The 15,788-nt window shown below is 49.7% G+C and overlaps 1 protein-coding gene across 23 annotated transcripts in view; it reads left to right on the top strand.

The window, feature by feature from the left end:
• CTIF (cap binding complex dependent translation initiation factor) overlaps positions 1-15,788 on the top strand; it is a 324,187-nt gene that overhangs the window by 56,015 nt on the left and 252,384 nt on the right. The window lies entirely within an intron of this gene.

A 15,788-nucleotide genomic window follows, 5' to 3' on the forward strand; every position in this document is an offset into this window, starting at 1 on the left:
CCGTCTTCCCTTCCCTGTCTCGAAGCATCAAGTCACAATGAACAAAAGAATCAGCACTAAGCAGGCATGAGGAAATGGACCCCCGAGCCTGGCCACCCAAGGGATGGGGTCAGGGGACCTGGCACCTGGGCTTCTTGTGGCCTATCCTTGGGTAAGTCATAGGATTCTAGGATTTTAAAGGTGGCAGGCACCTTAGAGCTCACCCAGCCCAGCCTCTTATCCAGACGAGGGGACTGAGAGCAAAGGGGAGAGTGGGAGCGGCTCCCTTCCAGGTCTCAGTTAGGATTAGGATTGTTGGTTGTGCTGTCTATTGCTGTGTAATAAATTACCCCTCAAATTACCCCAAAACTTAGCTGAAACTACGTACATTTATTTTTTAATTAATTAATTTTTTTTAGAGAGACAGGGTCTCAGTCTGTCACCCAGGCTGGAGTGCAGTGGTGTGATCACAGCTCACTGCAGCTTCAACCTCCCAGTCTCAAGTAATCCTCCTGCCTCAGCCTCCCAAATGGCTGGGACCAGCGGTGCACACCACCACACTAGGCTAATATTTTATTTTTTTGTAGGGTTGGGGTCTCTGTATGTTGCCCATGCTGGTCTCGAACTCCTGGACTCAAGCGATCCTCCCACATTGGTCTCCCAAAGTGCTGTGCCCAGCCTTAAACTACATACATTTGTTATTTCATGGTTTATGCTGGTAAAGAATTGGAGCTCTGCTTAGCTGAATCCCTTGCTCTGGGATCTCTCCGAGGCTGCAATCAAGGTGTCAGCTGAGGCAATATTCAACTGCGGGAAGAGCCACTTCCAAGCTCATGTGTGTGGGTGGTGACAGGATTCAGTTCCTTGCAGCCTGTTGGACTGAGTTGTCCACAGTTCCTCTCCAGCATGGCAGCTGGTTCATCAAATCGTGCAAGCTGAGGAGGCAGTAGAGTCAACAAGGTGGCAGTCATGGTCTTTTGTAACTGAATCACAGAAGTGACATCCTATCACCTTTGTCATACTCTATTTGTTAGAAGCAAGTCACCAGGTTCAGCCTACAGTCAAGGGAGGAGATTACACAGATCATGAATGGGAGGAGGCAAGGATTATTCAACACCATCTTAGAAAGCTGCTTACCACGGTGACATAGAACAGAAAATCCAAAGAACAGAGGTTTAAACAACATACTCCTTTATTTCTTTCTTACGTCTACAGGCAGGCAGCTCAGGCCTCGTGTGAGGGCTCTGTGATCACAGGGGCCCAAGCTCTTTCTATCTTTCTGCTTTGCCCTGTGTAATAGTTGACCGCTATCTTCAAAGTTGTCTCATGGCCCAAGAGAGTTGCTGGAACTCCATTCATCACATCCACAATCCAGACAAGAAAGAGAAAGTGGGAAGAGCAAAAGGCATGTGCCAATGGAATCAGTCCCTTTTCCTTTTCTTTTCTTTCTTTCTTTTTTTTTTTTTCTTTTTGGGAGACAGAGTCTTGCTCTGTCACCCAGGCTGGAATGCAGTGGCGGGACCTTGGCTCACTACCTCTGCCTCCCGGGTTCAAACGATTCTCCTGCCTCAGCCTCCCGAGTAGCTGGGACAACAGGTGTGTGCTAACACACCTGGCTAATTTTTTGTATTTTAGTAGAGATTGGGTTTCACTGTGTTAGCCAGGATGGTCTCCATCTTCTGATCTTGTGATCCGCCCACCTCGGCCTCCCAAAGTGCTGGGATTACAGGCGTGAGCCACCGCACATGTCTGGAATCAGTTCCTTTAAAGGGTTCAGTAACTTCCCTTTACACCTCATTGGTCACTCCTATCTGTGAGGGAGGCTGCAAAATGTAGTTTTTCTCTAGGTACATTTTCTCCCCCAGTGTTATAAGGATTCTGTTAATAAGGAAGGAGAGAATGGATTTTCCAGATTCAACTAGCAGTGACTGCTGTTTTTAATGGCTCCTCAACCTGAAGGTGTAAAGCCATATCTTCCACCTCCACTGCATCATGTGGGCCCTGCCCCAAATTCCTGGTCTCCTGGGGATGCTGAGTGGGTGGAATAAGGGGCAAATGTTGGAGGATAAAGTTCTAGTGCAACATAGGATAGAACAGTGAACGAAGAAGTGTAACATCAACTGGCCTCTTCGTTCACTGCCTCATTCATTTATCATCGATTTGCTGACTGCCTACCTTGCATGAGGCAGCAGGAAAAGGAGGAAGACATAGAGTTAAGGGAACCACAGCCTCCAGCGGGAGACAGACCTGTGACTGGATAGATGACCAGTCAGCTAACAGTCACCAGAAAGCCAGCCCTGGGAAGGAAGGCATGCAGGCTGGGACTTGAAGGGTAGTGATATGTGTTGAATATGTGTCCCCTCTCAATCTCATGTTGAAATATGATCTCCAGTGTTGGAGGTGGGGCCTGGTGGGAGGTGTTTGGATCATGGAGATGGATCCTTCATGAATGGCTTGGTGCCATCCCCTTGGTGATAAGCGAACTCTCTCCCTGAGTTCACGTGAGACCTGGTTTAAAAGTGTGTGGTACCCTCCCCCCGCCCCACCCCTGCCTTGCTCCTGCCCTGGCCATGTGACGTGCCTGCTTTCACTTTGCCTTCTGCCATGAGTGAAAGCTCCCTGAAGCCTCCCCAGCAGCCAAGTAGATGCTGGTGCAATGCTTGTACAGCCTGCAGAACCATGAACCAATGAAGCCTTTTTTCTTTATAAATTACCCAGCCTCAGGTATTCCTTTATAGCAATGTGAGAATGGCCTAACACAGGTGGATAGCAGTTGTCTGGGCAGAATGGGCTGAGGAAGCAGCCTGTGTGCTGGCATGCAGCTCCAGCCCTCTTGTCTGGAGGAGGGCCAACGCTGGGTGTTCTCTTTTCCAGCCTGAGAACTTGGCTGTTTCAGATGAGGAGACCCAGTGGCCAGTGCAGGGGACGGATCTCTGCCTGCAGCAGGGCCTAGGATGGAGCCTCTATCACCCTCTATTCCAATGCCCTTTCAGCCTTTCCAGCTCATCTTCTGGCTGCGGCACCCTGAAGCCAAACCCTTAGACTTCCAGTGGGCCTGCAGTAAGCTCCAGACTCTGAAACAGTGGGTAGATGGCCTGGGTGGGCAGGGAAACCCCAGCTGAGGGTAATGGGGAGTTGGCGGAGGCTCTGATGGTCTTACCAGGGCTCCAGATTTTTCCTACTTGGCAACCTAAGGAACATCACAGGCATCCCCTGAACCATAGTTGCTTTATAAGTCACAAACGAACAATCAAAACCACCTAACTTAGCCTGTGAACTTCTGCTCATTCATATTTAAGTTTTCAGAGGCTCAGCCTGAAGGAAGTTGGAAGTGTGCTGTCATTAGCAAGGAGAGAAGGTGTGGCAGGCACCTCTCCGCTCTGAGGCCAAGGTAGCACCTTCCAAGGATGCTCAGGAGTGCATGAAGCCTGTCCTGCCTCCAGCAATACACAGACTCAGAATATATGCAGCAGGGCCTGCTGAGGTTGAGGGGAGCCAGCAATAAGCTCATGGCAGGTATCATCTCTGTGCATTTAAAATTTAAGGTCAGAACTTGGGAACCCTTTGGTATTTGCCAGCCAGAAGGATCTGCAGCTCAGAGGGCCATGAAACGGTGAAACGGCATGGTGGTGTGGGCGGGCAGGCTCCTGTACTTACCATTGTGGTCAACAGAGAGGGTTCTATAACAGCACGCAGGGCAAGAATGAGCATGATAGCACCAATAAGGACATCAGCATTTCTTGAATGTAGTGAAGTATTCAGCATGGGCCAAAAGTACTTTATGGGGACTATCTTCCTTGCAAGAGACCCAGAACGGAGACACTGTGATTAGTCTCCACCTCCAACCCCAGCCTTTTTCCTGGAGAAAGGGCAGGGGACAATCCCAGCAAGACTCTTTCTCACCCCTGCCCCTATACGAGTGGAGCAGATTCCAGATTCAATAGTGGTGCATGGAGTGATCAATGGATAGGATGCCGCCACCTTTGACCTGAAGACTTTAGACCTCTCTGCGTGGGAGGACTGCCCACCCGACGGGGGCCTGAGAGCTTTAACAGAGCAGAAAATCTCCTCTCTGCCGATCAGCTCATGGGTGTTGGAAAGGCCTGGCGAACTGTAAAGCAGTGTTGCTGGAGGAGTCTGAGCAGATGGTTCTATTGGCCCAGGGTGTGGCCGGGGCCTCACACTGATAGGCATGCCCTCCGTATGTCCAGCATGTGACCGGATCTGAAAGGACACAGACTCCTCAGAACCAGTGTTCTAGCCAGGGGGGTCAACAGCCAACCTTTACATTTTTCCTCTTAAAGGTTTTTTTTTTTCTTGTTCATAAAAATGCCAAAATCTCATTTTGGGGAGATAAAAAGAAAATACAGAAACAGCAAAAGGAGAAAAGTTAGTCCTAATACCACCTCTGAAAGATGTCTTTGGATATTTGTAGTTTACAGTCCTATTTCTATGTATTTTCATGTAGTTGAGATTTCAGGGTCTATTAAAAATTGTGTTTTCTTTCCTACATATCATGGTGTCATGAGCAATCCCGGGTTATTACAGCCCTTCGTAAACAATTCCTGAGGGCTGAATAAGCTAGCAAGCCATGTCTGTAGCTGAGTGTGGGCACGTCTTAGTGCCCACCAGACTGTCCCCCTCATGCCAGCACCTTCCTGCTCAGCTGGCCTCTGCACTGCCCATGTCCACAGGCACCTGGCTGTGCTCACAGGATCCAGAGGATTAGAAGGAGATCTCCTCTAGCGACAGGGTGGGTACCATGTGCTGGAGTTAGGAGGCGAAAGGGTGACCCCTGTGTCTTGCGTAGATGGACAAGGCCCCCAGTGTGATGTGATGAGCCCTAACAGAGGGTGCCGTGACCCAGCCTTACCTGGCCTGTCACGGGGCTTCCCTGAGCCAGCCCAGTGACCTCAAAGCTTTCCTACCTGTGACACCCTCCAAGTGGCCAATCCACTTTGAGGGTGTGAGGTGAGAAGGGACAACTCACCTAGCTGCCAACCAATGTGTCTAATAATCTCCATGCCTCTGATTCCTCACTGTCAATTGGAGAGACTAATAGCATGCACCCCATGGGGTTGAGAGCACTAAAAGCAATCAAACCTGAGTGTGTGCAGAGTCTGCCCCCAACCCCCGAGGCATGCAATAGATGCGCCCCATCATTGCTTGCTTCTAGGGAGCTCCCAGGGTGGGGAGCTGGGGCTGACACAGGAAGTAACAAGAGTGACTTGGCGCTGGGGAGACTGAGGCCTCAAGAGTTCAGGAACTTCCTGAAGGTCATGTGGCGGTGGCGATGAGCTCCGAAGCCTGTGTCTGTATGTGCTTCATTTGTGTGTCACTCCCCATGGGCACCTTTGTAACTGTTGTGTTTTTAATTTTCTGTCAGTTGGAGCAAGCAGATGTGGCTCTGGGCAGGATTTCCTATGCTGTCCTTGTCACTTCATACTCTGTCTTCTCCTTGCCACTCTGGGGATGTCCTTGAGCAGAGCCCATCTCTCATTCGCCTTGGTATCCCAAGGTCTAGCACAGTGCCTGGCAGACACTGAGGAAGTGACAGGCGTTTGTTGCGCTTTGAGTCAAGGACAGAGCCAGAGCAAAGGCTACTGGGTGAGCTGAAGGGATATTTCTTCTGAGCTCTGATATCTCGGTGTCCCCAGCTCTGTTCTTGGCTTGTCACTATAAATCAGACTGGAATGCTGGGGTTTTTCCTGGCAGTCTCTCCATCCCCTCTCCTGAATAGTGCTGGATGAGATAGACAAATTCTTCATTATCTTTTGCAGCCAAACCAGTTCTTCCCTTTCCCTGCAATATTCCCAGCCAGCCCTGAGTAGCCTCCTGCTACATCAATCCCAGTGCAGCCTGTCTCATACTGGTGACATTTTACATTGGCATGTCCCTGGTGAGAATGTTAAGCTTGTTGAAATCTGAGAGGCGCCTCCTTGCTCTCTCAGCCACGTAGACACTGTGTTTCCTTAGGCCACTGCTCTCCTACGTGTTGGGTAGACACATTTCCAATTTGGATGATGGTCCTTTCAGGCTTTGGTCTGGCCTGCGGAGAAGGGTATCTCAGCTCAGCTGAACTGAGATCTGCCCTCACCACTAAGGTGTTAGGCCCGTTCTTTATCTAGCTATAGGAAAAGTAAAAAGAGCTTTTGTAGAAGCAAAGAGGACCTGATCGTGTTAATCTGTGTTAATTTCAAGGGTCCAGCCCGGCGATTCCAGGCTCCCAAAAGAAAAATGTGTTTTCCCCCACCTTGATCTACTGCTCTGTGAGGTAGATGTACTGACCGCATGTTTAGACACTGAGAATCAATTTAGCAGCCTTCTGATCTCTATATATTCTGTGCGTGCACAACAGGAATAATGATTTTTAACACTGGGTTTGGCAAGGGCGTTGCCAGACTTTCTCATAGGCGATCTGATGGGAAAGCTGTCCCCCCGAGGGTCCTTCCTGTAGGGAGAGTTATATGAGTCTGAGAAAACATCTGGCCAGCCTCATCTGTAAACATGGCACAATATTATTGAATGACAGCCTGGGGACCAGCCTGTGGGGAGTGGAAATGCAGTCTCAGGACAGCTATAAACTAATGGTCTTTCTTTGCTTACTGACACATTGAAGCAGGGTTCTGAGATGGCATTGAGACAAGGGCCCCCATCACCCACCCTCACTGGCTTCTTGGACCAAGACTGCATATACTGATATGTTCAACTCACTGTCTTGTATGCTCTAAAACACTTTTGTTTTGAAGCAAGAAAATGGAAGACAAGCTTAGGGATGGCAGTTTCCTGGAGGCAGCCTGAGGGATGAGAAATAAAAGACATTGGCACAAATCTCAGGAAGCAAGAATTTTAGTCCAGGCTCTGGGATTTGGGGTGTGTCATATCATAGCTCTGTGGGTATGTTTCCTCACCTATAATATGAAGAATTGGCTTGCTCGTTTCACTGATGCTAGGAGGCATGTTCATTTCACATCTTAATGTTTCTTAAATCAGGCTGCATCTTACTATCGCTGGCATAGCACCCTTGCTGTTGCCAGATGACAGGCAGGACATAGTCGTCATGGCCTGAGCCTGTGTGAACATGGGCCTACTGTTCATAGTGTCACATCCTCCATTAAAAGAGGTTTGTTGTTGATTAGCCATGTATTGAGTATGAATGTCGTTAAAGGTGTCTACAAAAGGGTCTCATCATGATTTATTAGCAGAAGGGCCAGAAGACAGAGCAGTGGGGCACCAATTTAATATTAGAGAAGCAAATATTGTTGGAGGAAAGACTGCAATCTCATAAAACAGTAAGAATTGTCAGTCTCATGCATGCTAAACAATGCCACGAAAGGTGGAAGAAATTGCCAGAAGTTGACTCAGAAGAGATGAAACAGTCTCAGAGCCAGGTGAGGCCTGCGTGAGCAATTTGTCTACATGTAAGACTATCATGAAGGCATTATGGCATAGCTTAATTGACAGCATATTTTCTCTGTGGTTCATAAAATAATGGTGAGCCTTACAGTTGATGACTTTGCTTTCTAAGATCTCTTCTAGTTCTAATGTCTAATAGTTGTGTTTTCATTTTTCTGTCAAGTGGAGCAAGCAGATCAAAAATAACGTTTTTGGTGTTTCTCTCCTATGTTGGTGCTGCTTCTCTGGGCCCCTGTAGCACTTGACCCTTGATGTCATAACTGTGTGATCGCTTCTCTGCCCTTCGTTTTGTGTCCGTAACATTCAATACCAAGCTTGAGTTAGTGTTTTTTAAATGGACATATGGGTGGATGGATGGGTGGGTGAACGAATGGATGAATGGGTGGATGAATGGATGGATGGATGGATGAATGGATGGATGGATGGATGGATGGATGGATGGATGGATAAGAATGGGTGGATGGATGGGTGGATGGCTAGACAGGTGGGTGGGTGAATGGACAGTTAGATGAGTGGATGGATGGATGGATGAATGGGTAGATGAATGGATGGGTGGATGAATGAATGGGTAGATGAATAGATGGGTGGATGGATGGATAGATGGATGTATGGATGGATAAGAATGGGTGGATGGATGGATGGATGGATGGCTAGATGGGTGGGTGGGTGAATGGATGGATGAATGGATGGCTAGATAGTGGATGGATGGATGGATGGATGGATGGTTGGATGGATAGATGGGTGGGTGGATAGGTGGGTGGATGGACAGATGGATGAATGGGTGGGTGGGTAGATTGATGGATGGATGAATGGATGGATGGATGCAGGGCAGGTGGGTGGACCGATGGGTGGGTGGATGGATGGGTAGATGGATGGTTGGATGGATACATGAATGGGTGGATTGGGATGGACGGCTAGATAGGTGGGTAGATGGATGGATGGATGGATGGATGGATATGTGAATGAGTGGATTGATGGATGGATGGCTAGATGGGTGGATGAATGGATGGATAGGTGAGTGAATGGATGGCTAGATGGGTGGGTGGGTGGGTGGGTGGGTGGATGGATGGATGGATGGATGGATGGATAGATGGATGAATGTGTGGATGGATGGATGGATAAATGGGGGGGTGGATGGCTGGCTGGGTGGATAGATGGATGAATGGGTGGGTGGGTGGATGGATGGAAGGATGGATGGATGGATGGATGGATGAATGGATGAATGGTGGGTAGGTGGGTGGATTGCTGGGTGGATGGATGGATGAATAGATATAGATGGGTGGCTGGCTTGCTGGCTGGCTGGAGCTGCACCATGAGATGCATCCTCATCTTTGGTGAGGCAACAGATACCCTTCCAGGAAGCTTCAAACAAGTTCTCCAGATTCAGTGGGAGCCTAGACTCAGTGAAATTTTTTTTTTTTTTTTTTTGAGATGGAGTCTCACTGTTGCCCAGGCTGGAGAGCAGAGGCGCAATCTTGGCTCACTGCAACCTCCGCCTCCCAGATTCAAGCAATTCTCCTGCCTCAGCCTCTCGAGTAGCTGGGACTACAGGCACATGCCGCCATGCCTGGCTAATTTTTGTATTTTAGTAGAGATGGGGTTTCACCATGTTGCCCATGAGCTGAACTCCTGAGCTCAGGCAATCTGCCCACCTCGGCCTCCCAAAGTGTTGGGATTACAGGTGTGAACCACCACACCCCGCTGACTCCGTGATTTTTTTTTTAAGGGTTTTTTTTTTTTTTTTTTTTTTTTTTGAGACGGGTCTCGCTCTGTTCCCCAGGGCTGGAGTGCAGTGGTGTGATCTTGGCTCACTGCAAGCTCTGCCTTCTGGATTCAGGCCATTCTCCTGCCTCAGCCTCCCGATTAGCTGGGACTACAGGCGCCTGCCACCATGCCTGCCTAATTTTTTGTATATTTTTAGTAGAGACGGGGTTTCACAGTGTTAGCCAGGATGGTCTCGATCTCCTGACCTTGTGATCTGCCCACCTCGGCCTCCCAAAGTGCTGGGATTACAGGCGTGAGCCCCTGCGCCCGGCGTTTTAAGGCTTGTCATTGATGTTCTTTTATTCATTTGGTCCTAGATGATTCTAACAACTATGGTTTTTTTGGAGAGGCCTCCAAGCTACTAAGCCAGAGATTCCAACCCAAGTCAATAATCATGGGGCCAATCCATGTACATTACTTTTTTAACAGCTTTATTCAGATTCGATTTATATATTTTATAATTTACACATTTAAAATATACAATTAAATGGTTTTCAGTCTAATTATAGATATGTGTGACCTTTACCACCTTCATCACCTCTAAAAGAAACCCTTTAGCTATCACCCCCTTGTCTCCCTGCCTCCTTCCTGCCTCAGTTGTAAGCAAACACCATTCTACTTTTTGTCTCTCTAGATGTGTCTATTCTGGACATTTCATATTAATGAAATCTTATGTGATCTTCTGTGACTGGCTTCTTTCATTTAGCTTTGTATTTTCAAGGTTCATCCATGTGGTAGCGTGGATCAGTACTTTATTCCTTCTAATGGCTGAGTAATATTCCATTGCATGCATAGTTCATATTTTGTTATCCAGTCATCAGTTGATGGATGTTTGTGTAGATTTTACCTTTTGGCTATTATTAATAATGGTACTAAAAACATTTGTGTGCAAGTTTTTATGTAGACATGTGTTTTCATTTTTCTCAGGTATATACCTGGAGTGGAATTGTTGGGTCATAAGGTTTATGTTTAATGGTTCAAGAAATTGCAAACCATTCCATATGGTTTTCCACAGCAGCTGCACCATCTGACATTCCCATGAGCAGTGTTTGAGGACTCCAGTTGCTCCACATCCTCTCCAACACTTGACTCGATACTTTGTAAGGTCTTTTTACTTCTAAGCTTCTAGGATTCTGGGTGAAATCCAGTGACAGTTGAGGCTATGGGAGGCTCCTTTCTGGCCTTATATCCCCTCCTTCTCCATGTCTCAGTGTAGTTTGCAGATGGCTGTGGGGGATTTCTCAGTTAATTATCTGCCAGTTAACCACTCAGCCTGCTCCCTGCGGTTGTATCTGGCTACAGACTTCTCCTGCTGTGTGTGTGAAGAGGTTATCTGCTGCTACCATGCTCTAGTGGGTGAAATTAACCACAGAAATAATGGGAAGTAGAGACCAAAGACTCTGATGGACTAATTAGAACAGCCATCAGGAGCTGCCCCCTGTGGGCTCTCTGCTGCAAGGCATCTGGCTGCACCTGGGAGTCCTTCCTCACTGCAGCTGTCCCAGACTAGCCTGTGGGAGGAGCTCTTAGGTCACAGAGGCCCACCATGGGCCTCTCGGAGGGAGCCCACAGTCCTCCCTTCCGGCTTCTGTTGATTGCCCACTTCATACCAGGTCCTGGAAATACAATGATGGGAAAAACGAAAAGGTCCCTGTTCTCAAGCACGCACACTAGAGTGGGTTCCTGATGGAATTAACTGGAACTTAGATTTTTCTGGCTGCCTGTTTTCCCAATTACTTGATCATGTTCCAGAGAGAAGTAACTGGGGAAACCAACCCTAGGAAACCATACCTGAACCTTCTATGTGGCCTTGGCCAAGAGGTCTTGTCTCTGGCTTGGCAATCTGTTGTGGGAGGCCTCTGTAATCGGGCTTTATGTTCTACAAGGTAGTGGATATGGCTTGCAAATATGTGTGGCCTGCAGAGCTTGGCTTTCTCATACCCTCTAACCAGAAGAAGCCTTTGCAGCTCAAAAGGACTGCACCTGTCTCATCCGTCCCTTTCCCCCTTCCTCAGAGCTCCTACCCTATCTCAGCTCAACCTGGGGGCAACGTTCAGTGACTCATTGGTTCATGCCACAAGGAGTGGGAATCTGAGATATTGCTAGTCCAGGGCAAATGCTCAGGATTGGAGTCAGATGCCTGGGTCATCATCCTGCCCTGTCACTGGGCCACTGGCATACTGTTCCAGGGTCCCCATATGGGAGGGTAACAGGGGGTGGTGATGCATGCTCTGCCTAACTGCAGCCGCAGGGTTATTAAGAGCTGACTGGCAGGAAGGACAATGCTGAGCTGTGCAGACTCCAGGGGCATGAGGCCCAGTGCCACCCTCCAGACCTCCCTAAATGACTTCGGACTCCCTGGAGAGTACATAACTTCTGGCACCCTGGACAGGACCCAAAGGCTTGATCTGGAGCAGTTTCCAATGCCCACTCCAGGAGGGACGACAGGGTCTAGCAGCTTATGGGGGATGTTGGGCAAGGGCTGGCACATTGAGGGAGTGGAGCTCTGGGACCCTCACTCTCTTTGGTCAGAGTATCCATGTCTTGGAGCCATTCTGTCCAGGTTTCAGTTCTGAGCCAGCCTCTTCCTAGCCAGGTGACCTTGAGCAACCCTTCGTGTCCTCAGTTTCCTAATTTGTACAAGGGGGACAAAAATAATGCCTACATTATAGGATGATCTTGAGGATTAAATTAATATATGACAAGCATTTAGCACAGGGGCCGGCACATACTAAATTCTCAATAAACACAGGTATTTATTATCTTTTATATATTTGGGGGGAGTCGTTTATAATTTCATTTGAAAAACAAGTATGATATTAGAGGAAAATAGTTTGGAAACCAACAATCTGTGGGGAATACAATATTGATGATTTGCTTTCCTGCTTTAGGAAAGGTCAAAGGGCAGCTGCCTTTGAGCAGGAGTTTCCCTCCCTCGGGTCCTCCAAGCAAAGGCAGAGGCAGCTGTGCTGTGTTGTCTCTGGGCCTGGAGGCCACTCCAGGAATCAGGGGCCCTGGGCTTTTGCTGCCGATTTCTTTGCCTCCCTGTGGTTCGTAGAGAATTCAGGGAGAGCTGTAAGAGCGCTGGGCACCGGATCAAGTCTGAGATTCCTGTGGTTGCTGTCCAGCATGCTTCAGGCATTGTGTGGGATACATGAGGGCTCCCTGGCAGAAGAGGGGCCTGCCCTCTGACACCCAAGCTGTGTCTGCTGGGTCCACTTGTAATGTGCCACCCATCTGTGCCCATCAGCAGCCGTCTGCTAATACCAAGGTGGGCAGAGCATTTGTTACCTGCTGCTGACCATTTTCTACTTTCTGGGAATCCATCATGAAACTGTCAAAAAGAGGAACTGAATGTCTATGGTGAGGTCAGCTCAGGCTCCCAGGGTCCAAGGAAAGGAGCAGACAGGTCCTCAGCCTCCAGGAGCTCATAGTTTAGCTGGGGAAGGAGGCAGCCACTCAGCTCACATTAAGGCTGAGCTGGAGGGTGGTGGGGGCATTACAGGAGCAGTGGGACATCCCTGGGCTGTCCTTTCCTCCCTTGAGACACTGAGCAGGAGCACCCTGTCCCTAGGAGGAGCTTGGGTATGCACAGCCGAGTTTCTGCTGAGTGACACCATCTTCTATAATAGCTGTGGCTATCTTCAGCCAGGTTATGGTTGAGTACTGCTGGTCTGGAGCCTTTTTTTCTTTCTGCTTGCAATGACCTTGCATATTTCTGTTTTGGACCTGGACTATCATGTATTATTTCACAGTGTAACTCCCAAGGGCAATCCTTCGTCCTGATTTATTTCCAAGTTCTGAGGGGGAGCCCTCATTTTTGTAGGCATAGACCACTTCCAGTTAGTTGCTCTTTCGCAGGGGACTTTCGAACTCGGATGCCTTACAGGGGCCAGGCAGGTAACATGTGTGAGTGAGGGAGCCAGGTGAGAGTGAGGCTGTGAGCAGCGGGGAGGCATTAGAGAGTGTATGGGTCTGCAGAGAACTGGGGTTGATTGCCTGGTCTGAAGGGGACAGCACTTCTTAGCTCTAGCTGATGGTTACAGCGCAAGAAGGTGGGCCAGTGTTGCTCGATCATCCAGTTTTTTCAAGAAAAGTCAGAAATTGTGGCTTTTTATGTGAAATATTTTGATTTATAAACGTTAGCTCAAATATTTTTAAAATATCTAACTGGCTAACCAGAACACACCATGGTCCAGACGTGGCCCCAGCACAGGCGGTAGCAATCTCTGCTTTGTGACTGTGCTCCTTGCAGGACAAGGCGGTCATCGAAAGTGGTGGGGGGGTGGGGGCAGGCAGAAGCCCAAGGGCCCAGTGAGTGGCTGCTATGAGCATTCTGAGGGGTCTCTGTGACCTGGGCCGGTCAGGGTGGCATCTAAGAGGTGGGCTTGAGCTGTTCTTGAGGATGAGTAGAGAGAAAGGGTTGCTGTTCTCGAACGTGAGCCAGTTCTGCCTTGCAACCATAGCACAAGACCACCTGGACAGGCCTGCAAGGCCACAGCCTGCTGAGATCTAGCCTGTGCACAGCCTGTTCTGGGCTGTGGACACTCCCACCAGGCTCTGGAAACAGCTCGGTACTCTCTCTGCTCCAGCTGGTCTGTAGTTCAGGGAGCTGTTGCCAAGAGGGAGAAAGCTGACTGGGGACCCTGGAAACCCCAAGACAGATGCCAGAGAGAACGTTGCCTGAGAAGGAAGGCCTGGAGCGCTGCTGCCACCACACTTGGATGCCCTTTCTAGCCTTACCCCAGGTGCTTGTGGACACATTGCTGGGTTCAGAGCAGGGCACTATTGGTTTCCCTTCCTAGCATGCTCCAAGTTAATTTTCATTCTTGGCCAATAAACCCAGAAGCTTTTGACAGCTGGTGGTGGGGCTCACCCATCTACCTTCAGAGTCCACAGAAGAGAGAATGGATCTCTGTGAGTTCCTGCAGGTTGGCAAAACAGGTCAACCCAGGGATTGGAATACAGGAGAGAGCCAGACTGAGGCCCAAGGAGGACTCAGGGTGTTCAGAGTTGGGAGGCATTAGGGAGTGGTGAGATCTGCAGAGATCTGGGGTTCAGAGATAGCAGTCGTCATTGATATCCAGAGTAGTCAAGGAGGGCTTCAGGGAGGAGGTGTGCCCAGAGGTGGGCCTTGAGGGAAAAGGGGAGATTTGGAGAGGCAGAGGTAGGAGAGAATGCAGAAGACAGAGTGAGGTATAGCAGTTGTGAAGTCGAGTGACAATTGCAACTGATAATTGAGTGCTTGATGTATGCCTAGCGGTGTTGAGCACTTTTCTCATTCATTCTTTCACATGATTCTCACAGCACCTCATGAGGTGGCACTTTCACCATCAGCCTACTTTAAACATGAGGAAGCAGGCCCAGAGTCCGCCCAACAGCACGCAGAGAAAAGGTGATTTAGCCAGCACTGGAACCCAGACTCGGGACCCATAAGCATGATGTCACCCTATTTTACGAGTGGGGGCAGTGAGGAAGCCACCTGACTCCAGCCAGGGATATGGCTGTCCAGCTGTCTGGTGGCCCTGCACAGTTTTGGTTTGTTTCAGCTATGACTTCCCTGTCCCTGGTGCCTCTAGGGTGTATACAGCAGATGCTCAGTATGTCTTAGTTGGGAAGAGTTGTCTCGAGGAGGCTCTTGAATGTCATGGGAAGAGGTTTGGAGTCCTGGTTCTGGGACTGGGTGACCTTGAGGGTGTGGGGGGCTGGAGCAAGTCAACTCCCAGCATCCATTGGCTTTAACATTCTAGGAGCTGGGAGTGGGGCTGGAGGAAAGCCCGGGCCCATTGGCAGTGGGCGGAAGAGCTGAGGAGGCCCACTCTGAGGGAAGGACGGTGCTGGAGAGGGCGTGGGCGGGCTGGGGGAGCCACAGGCCCGTCTACCCATTCTGGGCCTGCAATGGAAGCAGGTGTAGGATGGAGCAGGGCCCTCAAGGATTACGCAGTCTTATCAATACCAGGCAAAAACCTATAAAAAAAATTCAAGAGCAGGGCAAGAGTTGGGTAGCAGCCCAGAGGCGGAGGAGAAGGTGTCACCAGGCAGCCTGGGTTTGGTGCCAAGGGAGCAGGTGGGTGGTCAGTGCTGGAGCCCAGTGGAGGCTTCTATGGGCTTTGGGGGCAGACCTGGAAACAGGGGCACCCAGGGATAAAGCAGGACCTGCACGTCACAGAGCCCACCTGGATGCCCACCTGGATGCCCACCTGGATGCCCACCTGGATGCCCACCTGGATGCCCTCCCGCCTATTGGGCTAGGCCTACCTGCCCGGGTGGGTTGCTGTTTCAGTGTTCTTCCTCCGAGAGGAAGTGCTCATCAGGAGCCAGGAATCTAATGAGGCACCCCCCGGGGACTGAGGCCTGTACCTTCCACACTCCTGCGGGCTGCTCTCCCTTCCTCCCTCTCCAGGGCCTCCGATCTCAGCCCCCATTCTGGGTGCCAGCACTGCAGGCCTGCTGAGCAGGAAAGAATCCATGGCATCTCCCTTGCCTTCCGGCCAGCCATGCCCTGCCCACCTCATGAAAACTGGTCCAGCTCCTCAGTGACTCATGGAGGCTACTCTTGGGGACAGAGGAGTAAGTGCCAAGCCCCAGCTCTGTTTCCATGAAGTTCTGATGAGACCACAGGGCTTGGT

The sequence above is a fragment of the Homo sapiens genome, chromosome 18 (assembly GCF_000001405.40).
Source record: "Homo sapiens chromosome 18, GRCh38.p14 Primary Assembly".
In the NCBI taxonomy this organism is placed as follows: Eukaryota; Metazoa; Chordata; class Mammalia; order Primates; family Hominidae; genus Homo; species Homo sapiens.